The 17,269-nt window shown below is 37.7% G+C and overlaps 1 protein-coding gene across 5 annotated transcripts in view; it reads right to left on the bottom strand.

The window, feature by feature from the left end:
* Positions 1-17,269, bottom strand: part of WRN (WRN RecQ like helicase) — a 142,329-nt gene that overhangs the window by 93,757 nt on the left and 31,303 nt on the right. For all 5 annotated transcript variants that reach the window (XR_949472.4, XR_949471.4, XR_949470.4 and 2 more), the window contains exons 6-9: positions 15,200-15,349; positions 14,055-14,124; positions 6,095-6,209; positions 1,086-1,515 (exon numbers count right to left, since the gene is read on the bottom strand). Coding sequence is in view for 2 of the 5 variants with exons in the window: in NM_000553.6 (NP_000544.2) it covers positions 1,086-1,515; positions 6,095-6,209; positions 14,055-14,124; positions 15,200-15,349 (765 nt within the window). In the remaining 3 variants the exon portion in view is untranslated. The remainder of the gene's footprint in view (positions 1-1,085; positions 1,516-6,094; positions 6,210-14,054; positions 14,125-15,199; positions 15,350-17,269) is intronic.

The raw sequence follows: 17,269 nt of genomic DNA, 5'->3' as shown, positions 1-17,269 counted from the left end.
TTACCAAAATACAGAGAATTGCTCAAATGCTAAAATTATTGTTGCCATTAGAAAAATGATGGGGAAATAACTCTAATTAAATGGTCAAATCTAATTTTTTAAACTTATTTATCGTGAAATAAAATATAAAATTTCAGAGAATATAGGCATCTTAAGTAATTTTGTAAACTAATGCAAAACAAATGAGAAATTAAGAAATCAATTTAATGAAGAAATTAAGGAAAAAATCTGACTCTGAGATGACAGTAAAACTATAGTGTCAAGCAAAAGCATCAGGAGTTTATTAGAAACTCTCTCACATGAGCAAGTAAAGAAATTCTGGGCCAGGCACAGTGACTCACACCTATAATTCCAACACTTTGGGAGGCCAAGGCAGGTGGATCACTTGAGTCCAGGAGTTGGAGACCAGTCTGGGCAACAGAGCGAAACCCCATCTCTACAAAAAATACAAAAATTAGCTGAGTGTAGTGGTGCAGGCCTGTGGTCCCAGCTACTAGGGAGGCTGAGGTGACAGGATCGCTTAAGCCCAGGAGTTGAAGACCGCAGGGGGCCAAGATCCCACCACTGCACTCCAGCTGGGGTGACACAGCAAAACCTTGTCTCAAAAAAAGAAAGAAAAAAGAAAAAAATTCTGTATAAAGAAATAAAATACACCCCCAAAAATCAAAGTCAGAAGAGTAAACACTAGTAGATATGAAGAGAATCCACAAAAAGCAGAGACATCTATTATGAAAAAAGCATACGAAATTATAAAATAGCAAACTCCTACAAATGTCTGTTGATACTATAAAATCTTTCCACTACACAATGCTGCATATCATACTAAGTCAGGAACAGCAAACTACAGCTCGCAAGCCAAATGTGGCCCACTATCTGTATTTGTAGATAAAGTTTTATTGAAAGACAGGCACATTTGTTTACATTTGTCTGTGGCTGCTTTCACACTACAATAACAGAACTGAGTTACTGCAACAGAGACTGTATGTCCCACAAAGCCTAAAATATTTACTATCTGTCTCTTTACGGGAATAAAGTCTGCCAGAACCTACTAATAACTAAAAATGTGCTTCCTCTTTATTTAGTACCTCAGTAGATTTATAAGCAATATCACTAAGATATTCTTCCTGAGACTGCTGTTCCAAAATTTGGAGTTCATGTTCTGTAATATCTAACGACATCAAACAAGCTCTTTCCATATTCTCTTTCAATTTGTTGTCTTCTACTCCATCTTCAAATCCATCTTCTTTTCGTTCCACTTTATTTCCAAGTACATCTTCTCCATCATGTTTAGCTAAATGATCAAGTGTTGGGTCCCATGTTTCATCTTCAACGTGAATTAAAACTTCATGTTCTCTAATTTGTTTCTGTTGTACTCCCCCAGTAGTTGAATCTTCAAAGGATAATAAGTTTAAATTATTGCTGGGCCTCAGTTCAGTCTCAATGTTAGTAGACCCAATTATCATCCTCCTCAGTGAATATAGATTTTCTGAAATATCCTTTAGTAAGATAGAAACCCTAAAAAAAAAATTAAGAAAGATTAATTCAACTTCAATTGCATTAACTACAAGGACAAACTGTGAAGCTTTTTAACAAGTAAAAGCTTTCTAAGCTGACCTTCACTTAAAAGATCAATAGTATTAAGGCTGTTCTTCATTCCCTAATGCCCATATATAATTACAGCTTGCAGGCTACTCTCTAGCATCAAGGCACTTCTGCACCAACAGTTGACTTGTATGTTTACTAAGAGTCAGTAGTGCTTGGTCCCAAATTTGTTTATGTCAACTATATGTTTTTTGTTGATTAATTTAATTAAATGTAAAGAAAGTTGATGATACATGACCACCAAAAAAAAAAAAACCCTATTTCATTAAATTCTAAGTTGAATACATGGAAAGATTTTGTAAATTTGTTTTTTGTTAAAAAAAAAAAGGTGTTTGATAAACTGTGATAAAAGAACCCTAAAAGTGTCAAGGAAAATCATAATGCCTAGGACTCCGCACTCAGATTGCTTCAGGTGTCTTAATTTTTCACTCTGTCTTAAAGAATTGGAAATTGTAGATGGTACATTATAGGTGTGGTTTAAACAAGAAACACTATGCAGAACTCCAAAGAGCTGGCCTGTATATAATGAAAAAGCCTTGACATATATAAAAATATTGGGAACAAACAAACATTAACACTTTAAGTTAAAAGAAAATTTGGGGCGGGCACGGTGGTTCATGCCTGTAATCCCAGCACTTTGGGAGGCTGAGGCAGGTGAATCACTTGAGGTCTGAAGTTCCAGACCAGCCTGGCCAACATGGCAAAACCCTGTCTCTACTAAAAATACAAAAATTAGCTGGGCTTGGTGGCATGCGCCTGTAATCTCAGCTACTCAGGAGGCTGAGGCAGGAGAATCCCTTGAATCCCGTAGGTAGGGGCCCCAGTGAGCTGAGCTGAGATCGTGCCATTGCACTCCAGCCTGGGCGACAAGAGCAATACTCTGTTTCAAAAAAAAAAAGAAAGAAAATTTTGATGATACCGTTTTGCCTAATTTTTTCACCTCACTGATCAATTACTAGTCTCAACTGCAACAAGTAAGATTGTTTGTGATCTAATTTGAAAATGATGCTGTTTTGCATCTCCAAAAATCTCAAAACACTACATTTTTGGAACAGAAAAAATCAATTTGCCATCAGTAGGCAAATATAACAAGTGAGAAACTATGGATAAGATGCATATAAATAAATACGAGCTGAATTTCTTAGCTCCTTAATTGCAGTTGCTAATGTATAACATTTTAACTAAGTAAGTTTAAATGACTATATTATAAACCCAATCTAGTTAGTTGGAATGGAAAACCACTGCTAGAGTGTAAAATGAGGCACAATGTCTTGTTTATTTGTTGTAGAGCTTATTAAAGTACTTCATAAAAGCAGAAATCAGTGAAAGTGAAGGGAGTATGATAGGCAGGGACATGTTTTACTCTTTCATTAGCGATTTTGTTTAGGTCTTCTAATATTTATATATTTAAAATCCATGCTTAATAAAATCTGACATGTCTTTTAAATTTTTATATTAATGACTCAAGTAAAAATTTGATCCTTCATGGGAATAAACTATCAAAAGTACTAAGTGGTTTCATGAGTTATTTCCAGTTACTTCCATCACTGAAAACACCACTCCAAAGTTGGGCTCAAGCTTACGTAGACAAAGTCTACATTAACACAAACAAAATCAAGAGCAAAATTAAATTCAAAAACTAAAAGCACACTAATGTTATCTAATTTAAACATTCTAAGATGCTATAAATCTTATAAAGAACTTTTAGCTTTATATACAGCCACTCAAATGTTAAAATTATATGCAAATAGTTTAGTAGGAACAGATATGTGATACAGTTTAACTGTTACATGGACAGGAAATGGTGTAACATACAAACACAGCAACAGTGGCACAGATTGACTATCAAGAGTGTAAGGGCTCATTTATCAGGCCCTGACATCAGGGAATATAACATGCTTTATGTAAGATAACTAATATTTACTCTAACAAATACCAACGGCTGTCCTGCCTTCTTCAGTAAGGCACAGTATACTTTTCCTTCTTTTTCAGGATTGTTATTATGCATATTAGTAGCCTGCAGACAGCCTTAGCACCCAGCAGAATGTCAAGTACATGACAGCAATAGAAGAGATATATACCGAATTTAAATCAATGACTAAGCAGTACTATACACTGCCAATACCTTCAGAGTCCACTGAAGCATAAAGCTGCTCCCTTCTGTAACAAACTTCAAACCGTTCTATTTTAAGAGTTCTTAGTTCTAATTTTTATAGTTTTGTCCACTCTTTCAGATTGTCAGCTGTCACTTCCACCTACTGTCATGTGAATATGATTACTTATTTACACCATTTTCACTTTAACTCAGTACCCAAGCTTGTCAAACTGGATCTATGAACAAAATGTGGCCTCCTGCACTCCACAGAAATGCCGAAAGTAAGCTGGAATACATGCTTATAGCATTATTTTGACTGCTCAGAGGTCTTTTTTGTTCCCTCCTGGTTCTGAGGTGTCATCTAGATACATTAGGTATTACTGTAGACTTGTTACAAAGAGCATGAAATAAGAGACTAGTTATCGTTTTCACACTAAAACTTCACAAGACCCAGTATTTCCCATTTCCAAGTTTTAAGAAAACCTATTCAGCTTCAATATGTAAAAAGTAATTATATAAATTGATAATTCTTGTCATACCCAACTAAATCAGAGTCAAGGGCCAAGGGGAAAAAAGCACTCAAGGCACATAACATTACTCTAAGAATGTAATTTTCTGCAAGCCTAGCTGCTGAAACTGCCTATTGTAACCTAAAACCTGTTTTATCTAATAGATACTGAAACAACCTGTTGTGACTCTAAGACTAGTTTTACCCACCACAGTCACTAACCCATCAGAGCTTCCAACTCCCCAAAATTTACTAGTGCCAAAGAACTTTCTGGAAAAACAATGTCACATTTTCCTTTTTCTATAACCTCCAAACTTCTCTTTGTTCTTCAGAGATACCAAGGACACCCAGTCTGTGTATATGCCTCAAATTTAATTCTTGCTTCCCAAATAAAACATGTTCAATTTAAAGATCTGTCTCTATATTTTAATTGACTTCAACAGATATTATGAAGCAAAGCATTAAGCACATGTGATTTACATCCAGTAGATATTTTAATTGCTAGTACAAAAATCTGAAATGCATGTAAAAGTCATGTAAAAGGTGGCTGCTCTAATTTCATGGAGGGAAAAATGTATACATGAGTAAGAAATGGCTTTACTAGTATCCTTCCCCATTTTAAAGTTCATCTTTCAGGCTGGGCGCGGTGGCTAACGCCTGTAATCCCAGCACTTTGGGAGGCTGAGGCGGGCAGATCACGAGGTCCGGAGATCGAGACGATCCTGGCTAACACGGTGAAACCCCGTCTCTACTAAAAATAAAAAAAAAATTAGCCAGGTGGGGTGGCGGGCGCCGGTAGTCCCAGCTACTCGGGAGGCTGAGGCAGGATAATGGTGTGAACCCGGGAGGCGGAGCTTGCAGTGACCTGAGATCATGTCACTGCACTCCAGCCTGGGCAACAAAGCGAGACTCGTCTCAAAAAAAAGAAAGTTACATCTTTCAGAAATTGTCCAAGTTGCATTAAAAATTACCAACACAAATTCTAGGGTGGCAAATTACTTTGACAAAAAAGCTAAATTTATATATCATGGTTTTAAATCTCAATCAAAATCTATCACAAATCTTACCCAGAAAAGCATACATTAACTGCACTTTTTCGAGTCAGAATTCTTTCTATTCCAAGTAAGAGAATCACATTTCTACAAAGTATTTTTTGGCCCAAAATTACATTACCACATTCTAATTGTTCATTGTTCCAGAGCATTCCTGCTTTTAGAGATTTAATAAGGAAGTCATCCTGCAATTAAGGCCAGGACAAGGTCTGATTCCAAAAAGACATAGCCCCTGTATTCCAAGGTCTATTAATCTGTATAACATTTGATCCAAATTTTTTAAGTTACCTAGTGCTTTAACCATAAAAGAATCTCTAAAATTGGAATGCCTTTTGTTCTAATAATCTATTAATTAAGTAGAATTCTTAAGTAATAATCAGATAGTAACAGAAATGAGGCTACTAAATATGACATTGCTTTTGGTCACTATAGATTTCAAGTGACCAAACTATAAATGTTATTAAATCAAAGATACTCATTAACAGAAAGAAAATGACAACTTTGAATCTTAAATATTTTCCTTAATGTATAATTTATTTTGCTTTGACAAAAAATATAATATAGATATAATTTCAAAATGTATAATATGAATACAATTTCTATTCCTTTGTTTCATAAAACATCCTACAAAGCAGACAGAAAAGGCTTAAACCTTTGGATTCACTATTCAACAACTGGAAAGATATTTCTCAAATTTATGCATCAGTCTGTGTGTGTGTATTCAAGCAAATTTCTATGAGTCAGCCTTAATGAATAGTATTCTTCACATATAGGAAAATGTGATAAAAAAATAAACAGAATTGATTTAAGTTAAAAAAAAAAAAGGTAATATTTAACCTCCGTGGGTTTTCCAATTTACTGAAAGCATGAGGAAGATGCTTAGCCAGATCCATCACTTCCTCAGAGATTGAAGTCAACTGTTTGTTCATGTCGCTAAGTAGGATTTCTTCCTCTAGGGGGAAAAAAAATCAATATTAATTTTCAAACCACAAAGCAGAGATATTCATTTAGCCACTTCATTAAATAATATTAGGGATCAAATTTTCATTTTCTTTCCTTAAATGAATTCCAACAAAAAGACCTTCTTATTCAATCCCCAAATTGCCTCAATCACTTTCCCTCTCTTTCAAATTTTTACTGTTTACATTTAAAGTAAATTCCAAATGATCTGCAGTCATCTGTACTATAACCCAGCAGTTATTCACCTAGGCAGAAGGAGAAGGTGGAAATGAGAATCTGAACCTGTCTGTACTATTGCAAAATCAGAAGTCAGTATAACACCATGTATGCTGCTACTTAATAATACTGTTTAGTAAGCACAGCCTTCTCCAACAGTCATCCCTCATTGCCTTCATTCCCAGTCAGCACCAAAATAAAATGTAAGCCCTTCCTTTTTTTTTTTTTTGAGACAGAGTCTCACTCTGTCACCCAGGCTGGAATGCAGTGGCGCAATCTCGGCTCACTGCAACCTCCACCTCCCGGCTTCAAGCTATTCTCATTCCCTAGCCCCCGGAGTAGCTGGGACTACAGGCATGTGCCACCACGACCAGCTAATTTTTTTTTTTTTTGTATTTCTAGTAGAGACAGTGTTTCGCAATGGTGGCCAGGCTGGTCTCCAACTTCTGGCCTAAGGGATCCGCCCACCTTGGCCTCCCAAAGTGCTGGGATTACAGGCATGAGCTGCCACCCCCGGCCAAAATAAAATGTAAGCCTTTCTAATCAGTGATCAACTTCCAAATTCTCAACTTCATCCTGTCTGGTACATCATTTGCCATCAACAGCACAAAGCCTGCCCTGCTTTCCCAAACACTTCCCCTGCTTAGAATTTATTCATCATCATTTCTCTTGTCCTTCAAAAGCCCATCTCCTCTGAGGCCTATGAGACAGAGCTACAAAACCTGCTATTCCTGATTACTACAGTTATCTTGTCATCTCCAAACTGCATCCTTTCATCCCTTGGAGATCTTAGTGCCTGATTCATTAACTACTTTCACTCCACTACTATTCCTTGATCACTGCCAGTGAGTTCAACATCCACAGGCCAGTTCCTTGACCCCTGCATTTCCGACAATCTTTTCTTCAACAGACCTTAGCCACTCAATTCCATAGTCATACCGTTGACCTTATAATTGCCAATAAAATCACCACTTCCAGACTACAACTGTAAGCCTTCCACCCTGAGAACACCAGCATCCCTATCTTTCCTTCCAGCATGCTTTCCCCAACAATACTTTGACACTTGCAGAACCAAATGCATTGATCCTATCACCTTTTCCTTACCTATCAACATCCCTACTCCCACTGCCCACTGAGCCTTCCATTCCTCTCTTACCCACATTACAGTAATCATTCCTTTGTATCTATACTCTCAACTCCTTTGCTCTTCCCTCCCTCCATGGTAATTACGTGGCAAAACCTCTACTCATAATAAAACCCACTTTTTTTACCTACCTGATGCCTACACCCAAGCAGTTGAATATAGTTGAAAATAAACACATCGATGATGACACAAGTTATTTTAAACTCATGACAGATTTCAAACGCACCCTCAGCAATGACTGTTAATTCTTCTACATTTCCCACTCTCAAAATGACTATTTCAAACCTCTTCCTTTCTTTGTGAACTTCTAACACCTGTTTGACCCTCCTATTACTCAGAGAACTTCACCTCTTATTTCACTAAGAAAAATGAAATAATAAGAGAATTACGTCTTCCCACTTTTCAGTTTGCTAATTATTCAGTCTTCAGATCTCTACTCCCATTTATAGCGAAATTCCTTGAAAGAGTTGTCTACACTCACTCTCTCAAATTTTCTGCTCCCATTTCCTCCCAAACCAACTGCAACTAAGCTTTTACCCAAATCAGTAGAGCAAAGCTGCTTTTGAAAAGGTTACTCTTGGGCCGGGCGCGGTGGCTCACACCTGTAATCCCAGCACTTTGGGAGGCCGAGGCGGGTGGATCACGAGGTCAGGAGATCGAGACCAACCTGGCTAACATGGTGAAACCCCGTCTCTACTAAAAATACAAAAAAAAAAAAAAATTAGCCGGGCATGGTGGCGGGCACCCGTAGTCCCAGCTACTCCGGAGGCTGAGGCAGGAGAATAGTGTGAACCTGGGAGGCGGAGCTTGCAGTGAGCAGAGATCGCGCCACTGCACTCCAGCCTGGGTGACTGAGCAAGACTCTGTCTCAAAAAAAAAAAAGAAAGAAAAGGTTACTGATGGCCTCCACACCATCAAACCTAACTGTTAGTTCTAGACTCTCATCTCACTCAACCTCCCCGAATGATTTAAAGCAACTGACAACTTCTTCCTATTCCAAACATTTTCTTCAGGTGGCTTCAGAACTAAACACCTCCTGTACTTCCCTCCTTCATTAGTGGCCCTCCCAGTCCTCTTTGCTGCTCTCTCCTCATCTTCCCAACCTCTAAATGCTGGTGTGCCCTTGAGGTCAATATCACACCTACTCTTTATTTCATTCACTCCCTATTTTATCTCATTCAGTCTCACTGCTTTAACTACCATCGGATCTGAATTACATCTCCAACCTCAACCTTGAACTTTGGGATCATATTTCCCAAATTGATCCCAAATATTGATATCTCTTGGATATCAATAATCATCTAAAACTTAGGATATCCAACACTGAAATCTAAAGTTTTCTCACCCAAACCTGTTCTTCTCATAATCTGTCCACTATAACTGACCTTTCCATTGATCAGATGATCTGACCAAAATATCTTAATGTTCTATGAATCTTTACATCTCACCCCTTACAGGGAATTCATCAGCAAATCCTTCACAATATATATCTTCCAAATACCTACAGAAGCTACGACTTCTCATCACCTCTATTGCTACCCGCCTAATCCAAACAATTATTGTCTATTGCTTGGGCTGTTACAATAGCCTCCTAACTCTCTGCCAAAATGCCCTGGGGCTAAATATTTTTCCTCTTACGACAACCAGAAAAATATTTCTAAAATAAAATTTTAATTATATCATTCTTCTGCTCCAAATCCTCTATGGGTTTCCCATCACCCATCATCGTATTTATTTTCATTAATAAGAAATGAAGTCAGATTCACAGCCTACGAGGCCCTACGTGATATGGCCCAAGCTCCTTTTCTAGCCTCATTTCCTGCCACTCTTACCCTCACTCATTTCATTCAGTTATAGGTACTGTTCCTCCAAAAGAGCCAGCCAATCACCCTAGGAGGCTTTGCACTTTCTTCCCTCTAATCCTGCTAAGCTCTTCCTTCAGATAACCACATGGCTCCCTCACTTCACCCAAAGGAAATGAAGGGGCATGGTTTGCTTGGTTTGTAAATTTTCCCGAGCAACTCTAACAGTGCCTGACACATAAGCACCCAACATATAAGTGTTATATGCATCAATAAACGTTCCCTTTCCAAACTAAGCTTCTAGAACAGTTGTTTACACATGCCTTCGTTATTTCTAAAACAACTAAAACAAGCTTCTGAGAAAATGTTGTTTTCAAGCCAGATGCAGAGGCCTGAAACCCGAGGTATTCAGGAGGCTGAGGCAGGAGGATCGCTTGAGGCCACGAGTCTGAGCCAGGCTGGGCAACATAATGAGACCCTGTCTCTGTTCCCACATTCCTCAGATCTAACCTACTCCTCTATTCACGTTAATATGACTTCCACCCACCTCATTCTCTTGCTATGGTTATAGGACCTTCATGTTACCAAAGCCCGTGGACTCTTCTCTGTTTGAATAGCATATGCTCCAAATGACCACTCCTCAAATCACTCTTTTGCTACCCAGTACAGCAAAACTATTGTTTAAAAGATTACAAATGATTGGCGCATTGCCAAATCTAATGATGAATTCTAAGTCCTCAGTTTCTCAAACTCTCAGCAGAATTTAAAACAGTTGATAGCATCCTCCTACTTAAAACATGTTCTTCACTTGGCTTTCTGCACACCACACCTCCTAATTTCCTCGATGTCTATGGCAACTCCTTTGGTGTCCCCTCCTCCACGCAAATGTTCAACACTAAGAGTTCCTCGGGATTCTCAGTCCCAACTCTCTTAACTCAAACTGTCCTCTGTGCTACAGCCAACACAACTAATTCTTGCACCACCTCCACTTTGCTGTCTTACAGGTCTCCCTCCCTTAACATACCTAAAATCAACTGTGTGACAACGCATCCCAAAATCTTGCTCTTCCTCAATGCTTTTCATCCCTGTTGCTTATGCCAACAACACAGGAATGATCCTTGACATGTGTCTTTCATCATTACCTCAAATTCCATTGGTTTATTAAATGTATTTTGAGGCTGGGCATAGTGGCTCATGCTTGCTCTATTAAATGTATTTTGAGGTCAGGTGTGGTAGCTCATGCCTATAATTCTAGCACTTTGGGAGGCTGAGGTGGGCGGAAGACTTGAGACCAGGAGTTCGAGACCAGCCTGGCCAACATGGCGAAACCACATCTCCACTAAACACACAAAAATTAGCTGGGCGTGGTGGCAGGCACCTGTAATCCCAGTTACTCAGGAGGCTGAGGCAGGATAATCACTTGAACCCAGGAGGTGGAAGCTGCGGTAAGCCAAGATCGCATCACTGCACTCCAGCCTGGGTGACAGAGTGAGACTCAAAAAAAGAAGAAAAATGAATTTTGAACCTGTCAACTTCTCTCCATTCTCAACACAATTAACCGACTCAAGTTGCCATTACTTCTCACTTGGATTATTGTCACAGCCTCCCAAAAGATATTCCTACTGTGACTCCTGCCTTCCTCCTATATCCGTTTTTTATTCTAGAGCCCAAGTTCTTATTTTTTTAATGTAATTCACTTCACTGCTGTGTTTAAAACTCTCAGTCACTTCGATTGCTCTTGGGAGGAGATATAAACTCCTTACCATGGCCCATCTGCTTTCCTTTTTCTGCTTTGCCTTCATCCGCCCAGCCCTATTCAATGTTCACTATACTGAATTACTTTCAATTACCTATAGATACCATAATTTCTCTCACCTCTGTAACTTGGCACCTGTAATTTCCTGTACCCATTCTTTCCTATACTCTTCAGCTAGCTAACTTTTTTTTTTTTTTTTTTCTGAGACAGAGTCTCGCTCTTGTGCAGGCTGGAGTGCAATGGTGCAATCTCAGCTCACTACAACCTCCACCTCCCAGATTAAAGCGATTCTCCTGCCTCAGCCTCCCAAGAAGCTGGGATTACAGGTGCCCGTCACCACACTCAGCTAATTTTTTGTATTTTTAGTAGAGATGGTGTTTCACCATTTTGGCCAGGCTGGTCTCAAACTCCTGACCTCAGGTGATCCACCCACCTCGGCCTCCCAAAGTGCTAGGATTACAGGCGTGAGCCACTGCACCTGGCCTTAGCTAACTCTTGCTCAGGTTTCAGGTCTGGCTTTTACCTGCACTTTCTCCAGGAAATATTCTAGAATATTTCCCCCAATGTGTCAGATGCCTCTCGGTGTGTCAACTACAGCACCTTGTTTTCCCATGACATAAGACTCATCTCCCTACACTGCAATTGCTTTCTTCACTCATCTATATCCCCAATAAAACTGTAGGCCCCTCAGGAAACAGAGTATGCCTGGCTTGTTCACTACGGTATTCCCATATCGTAAAATGCTCAACAATATTTAATAAATGAGTCAATGTATCTTTAACTACTATATCATTTGGTGTTTTTAGCTACCATCTTGGGAATAAGTCAATGGGGAAACAATGTGTAAATATCCTTTTATGTTCTAATCTTTTTATCCTTTAACAAGAAGAAAAAAACAGTCTAATAATAAAAAGCAAAAGAGAAAAGTGGTCATTCGAAAATATCATCCATATGTACATGAAGAAAATAAGAGAACAGTGATGCTGATACTTCTGGCTGAATAACAGAAAGGAAGGAAGGGAGGAAGGAAGGAAAAAAAGATGGTAATCTTAGTTATTAGGTTGGTGCAAAAGTAATTGTGGTTTTTGCCATTAAAAATTACCAAAACCACAATTATTTTTGCACCAACCTAATACAATTCACTGGAATCTGAGTCAAGATGTCACAATATACTCACACATATAATGTAATAAAGGGGAAAAAAAGTGAAGGTCAAATAATGTAGCATTACAATGACAAGTACACAGATACCAGGACTTCCAGTACTGTGTTATTAATATATGTTACTTTAGTGAAAAATATCATAAACATTCCTTGGAAGCATTTTCATCAAAATTGCACATGTAACAAAATTGTACATGTAACCTACATGCAATTCCACAACCATAAAGCCAAAAAATCATAACTCTCCCCTGTTGAATTTTAGTTTTATTATGAGTTAAGTAAGTTCTTATATACTGTTTCCCTAATCAGCTTAAAAAACCGATCACCTGCCTCAGTTAATTAACATACAGTCATTCCTCTGTATCCTTGAGGGATTGGTTCCAGGAACCTCCCTCCCACTGATATCAAATCCATAGATGATCAAGTCTCTTATATAAAATGCTGCAATATTTGCATATAATCTATACACATTGTCCTGTATACTTTAAATCATCTCCGGATTTCTTATAATACCTTATAAAATGCCTACGCATCACTTCATTCATATAGATTCAATGTGGTACTCCATGCAAGAAATTCAACTTTTCCTTTTTTAAAACTGTGAATTTTTTTTTTTGGCTTGAATGTTCTCAATCTGTGGTTGGTTGAATCCACAGATGCAGAACCCAGGGATATGGAGACTGACTCTAAGTTACAGCCACAAGACCTCTGACTACAGAGAACCAGCAGGCATTCATAGGAAGTGGCTCTCCAGGGAGGAGAAGTAAGAATAAAGACTCTTCTACCTTAACATATAAAGGAGGGCCTGCCACCCACAGAGGCTCAACGACAATTATAAAGAATATCATATCATTTTATATGAGGCAGTCATGCCATATTTTTAAGAGCATTTAGCAAAATGGCCTAATTTAATTAACATCTTAACAAACACAATCATTTAAAATCTCCAAAAGGAAGCTACGAGAATAGTGATAACTTTATATCAATACAGATGCTTCGAATAGTTTGTCCCTTTAAGTCTTCACAATTATTCTATAAAACGGTAAAACGGACATTATGCTAGTATCTACATTCCATGTTTGGAGAAACAGGTACATCCCAGGTCACATGGCTGGGATTCACATTGGTCTGTGCAACAAAAAGCCTGGGCTCACCCACTCTACTACGTGGCTCCTTCTGCTCTCACTGGCTTATCAAGACCTCTAAAAACAGCACTGAGGTTGGATGACATGACCATTATTTTTGGAGAAAAATGACAGAAGAAAATTAGAAATGTAAATCAGTATGTTAGAAAGCACTGTAAAATGACCAACAATATTTAATAAATGAATAAATAGATCTTTACCTACTTTATCACTTAGTGTTTATTAGCTACCATCTTGGGGATAAGCCATCTTACATGTTTTAAAGCATTATATAGAAAGCATTTTAAATACTTATAGCAAGGATGTATAATCTCCAGACTAGGAGAAAGCTGGTTGTGTCACTGCAATAAGAAAGCCACAAAGCCCCAACTCTAGAAGCCAAATACATAGCAATGCTACAAAGTAAAAGAAGTAAGGGCTGCTTTGCCACAAGTAACAAAGATGAAACACTCATCTTGGGCCCTGATGGATCCCACCCTAATGTCAGGACTGCTCAGACATTCAAGAAGTTATAGTACTAAATGCTTTGCAAATATGTGAATATTGCCTTTTTTGGAGATAAACCTCACAAAAGAGTGAATTCACATTTTATTTATGGATCTTAACATACCTTTATTTATAGCAAACCTTTGCACAGTATCATCCAAAATCTCTAAATTTCGGTAAATAATAAAACCAGCCTATAAAAAAACAGAAAAATTTAAAAAGTATGCTAAAGATCACCGAAATAAAACAGTAAGTCCCATCTTCAGAAAAATCGAAGAGAATGATTCACAAAGCACCCAAACATGGAATTCAACCTATTATGTGACACAAATATCAATATGTCCTCATTTAATAATCATACCAATTGTGAAAATTGAGAAAGGTGCCTGAGCCTTAAAAGTTTGTTTTCACTTTTTCACACTCAATATTACACACAATATCCAAATAAAATAACTTAAAATGGAATCTAACAAAATGCAATCTAGTAAGAGAAATCCTACTTAAATCAGCTGAGAATGTTAGTCTCAAGTTTGGCGGTATCTTTTAAAGGAAAATTATCATCCAATTTCCCTAACAAAAGTGAATTGTTTGCTGGTTACAATTCAAAGGAGTTTCCATTCCTTTGATAGATGCAAAGGAGAAACAATAAAATATTCATCTACAAATGAAAGCATGAGTTAGGAGAAAACAAATTCACTGTGGAATAAAATACATTTCTTAAAAAACACACAATAGTGCTATATATAAAGATAAGCCCAGATTTCACTACATACAAACATGTAAATATAAAAATATATCTAATGGCAGCAACAAGCTAAATTTGGAGGCAATTTTTCTAAAATTTCACCACATTTTATATATAAGAAATAAGGCCAGTTTTAAAATAGAAACTGTACTATAATTATTTTCATTCTGAATTGTTTATATATCAAATCCATCATCAGTACTATTTATGCTTGCTCAGCCTGGATTTATTAGCCTTTCATGTTTTCAGCAAGTTCACATTTTTTAACATACAAATTAGACATTAATTTGGCTTCATGACAATGAAAATAAACTAGCATTGAACAATCTGTTGATTGGTACTTGCTAATTAATATCGAAAATGAATAGTTTCACTAAATGTCTTCCTAAGCATTTTTCAATGCCAAATTGATATAAAATATTTTGGTAGAGTTTCTGCCACTACTATAATAAAATTTTTCTAAAGTCATTTATAATAATGTTTTTAAAACACATCACAATTTCTAAAGATCTTTAAGCACGTACATAAGCATCAGTGGCTGCATACAGTTTCTGGTCCTCAGTGAGAGGAAATTTACTCCAATTGCTACAGCGGATAGACTTGTCTTTCAGGAGCTGTTTACCTAAGAGGTGTTTAACCAGACTGTTAAGGCTCCAGGTCTCTGTGCATTTCAGCTAGAAATGATGAAAAAGCAACACAGTAAAATCAGTTCCTGTTTTCAGGTATTACCAAATGATATCAAATGAACATACCACAAATAAAATTAGGAAATGTTATACCAAAATACAACCCACAGATAGCCTTCAACAAATTCCCTGTCACTAAAAGCCTCATATGCAGTCCACATTGTAAGAATTTAATTCTAGAATTTCCCTAATGTAGGTATTAAAAATCTTGGACTTTAAAAATATTGTTCATGAAAAAAAGTTGGTTAGTAGGCTTTCTACCTCCCAGCCAAATGAATACTTGGCTAAATATGAGAATTTAATTTAAGAACTTCATTAATAAAATATGTGAAATACAGGTGATGGAATTGATAGCCAAACTTCCACTAAGAGCACCGTATCACAAGAGCTCCATTATGCTCTCCCTTAAAAAAAAAAAAATTTTTTTTTAAGTTACTGGTATACATGGATTAAAAATATACACCTAAAACACAATTTTACATTTGCAAATATATGAAAGTGAAAGAGTACCAAGAACTGGGAGGAAGGAAAAGAGAAGGCTTGCTTAAAGAAACTGTATGTAATCCCAGCACTTTGGGAGACCGAGGCAGGTGGATCATGAGGTCAGGAGATCAAGACCATCCTGGCTAACACGGTGAAACCTCGTCTCTACTAAAAAAAATACAAAAAATTAGCTGGGTGTGGTGGCACGCCTGTAGTGCCAGCTACTCGGGAGGCTGAGGCAGGAGAATCGCTTGAACCCAGGAGGCAGAGGTTTCAGTGAGCCAAGATTGCACCACTGCACTCCAGCCTGGGCGACAGAGCAAGACTCTGTCTCAAAAAGAAAAAAAGAAACTGTCTGCCGGCCAGGTGCGGTGGCTCACGCCTGCAATCTCAGCACTTTGGGAGGCCGAGGCAGGCAGATTATCTGAGGTCAGGAGTTCGAGATCAGCCTGACCAAGATGGAGAAACCCCGTCTCTACTAAAAATACAAAATTAGCTAGGCATGGTGGTGCATGCCTGTAACCCCAGCTACTCAGGAGCCTGAGGCAGGAGAACCACTTAAACCCAGGAGGTGGAGGTTGCAGTGAGCTGAGATCACACCATTCCACTCCAGCCTGGGCAACAAGAGCGAAACTCCACCTCAAAAAAAAAAAAAAAAAGAAAAGAAACTCTATGCCAAGACATGGATTAGAACTAAAGGCTTTCCATTGTGGAAAACTGTGTAGCAATTCCTCAAAGACCTAAAGAAAGAAATACCATTTGCCCCAGCAATCCCATTACTGGGTATATACCAAAAGGAATATAAATCATTCTGTTACAAAGACACATGCACGCATATGTTCACTGCAGCACTATTTAACAATAGCAAAGACATGGAATCAGCCTAAATGCCCATCAATGATAGACTGCATTAAAAAAAATGTGGTACATATACACCATGGAATACTATGCAGCCATAAAAAAAATAAATAAGATCATGTCCTTTGCAGGGACATGGATGGCACTGGAGGCCATTATCCTTAGCAAACTAACGCAGGAACAGAAAACCAAATACCATATGTTCTCACTTATAAGTGGGAGCTAAATGATAAGAAAACATGGACACACAGAGGGGAACAACACACACTGTGGGAGGTGGAGGGTGGGAGGAGGGAGGAAGAAAATCAGGAAAAATAACTAATGGGTACCAGGCTTAATACCCGGGTGATAAAATAATCTGTATGATAAACCCCCATGACACAAGTTTACCTGTGTAACAAACATGCACATGTACCCCGATCTTGAAACAAAAGTTAAAAATAAATAAATAAATAAAGGTTTTCATTAAAGAACATTCACTTGGAACTTTTTTATTGCTACAAAAACATTATATAACAAGCTTTTTCAAAAAAAAATCTAACATTCAGATAGAAAGTACATTCTGTG

This window comes from Homo sapiens, chromosome 8, assembly GCF_000001405.40.
Source record: "Homo sapiens chromosome 8, GRCh38.p14 Primary Assembly".
In the NCBI taxonomy this organism is placed as follows: domain Eukaryota; kingdom Metazoa; phylum Chordata; class Mammalia; order Primates; family Hominidae; genus Homo; species Homo sapiens.
Note: the sequence above shows the minus strand (reverse complement) of the source record. Positions and strands in the feature narration are given on the sequence as shown.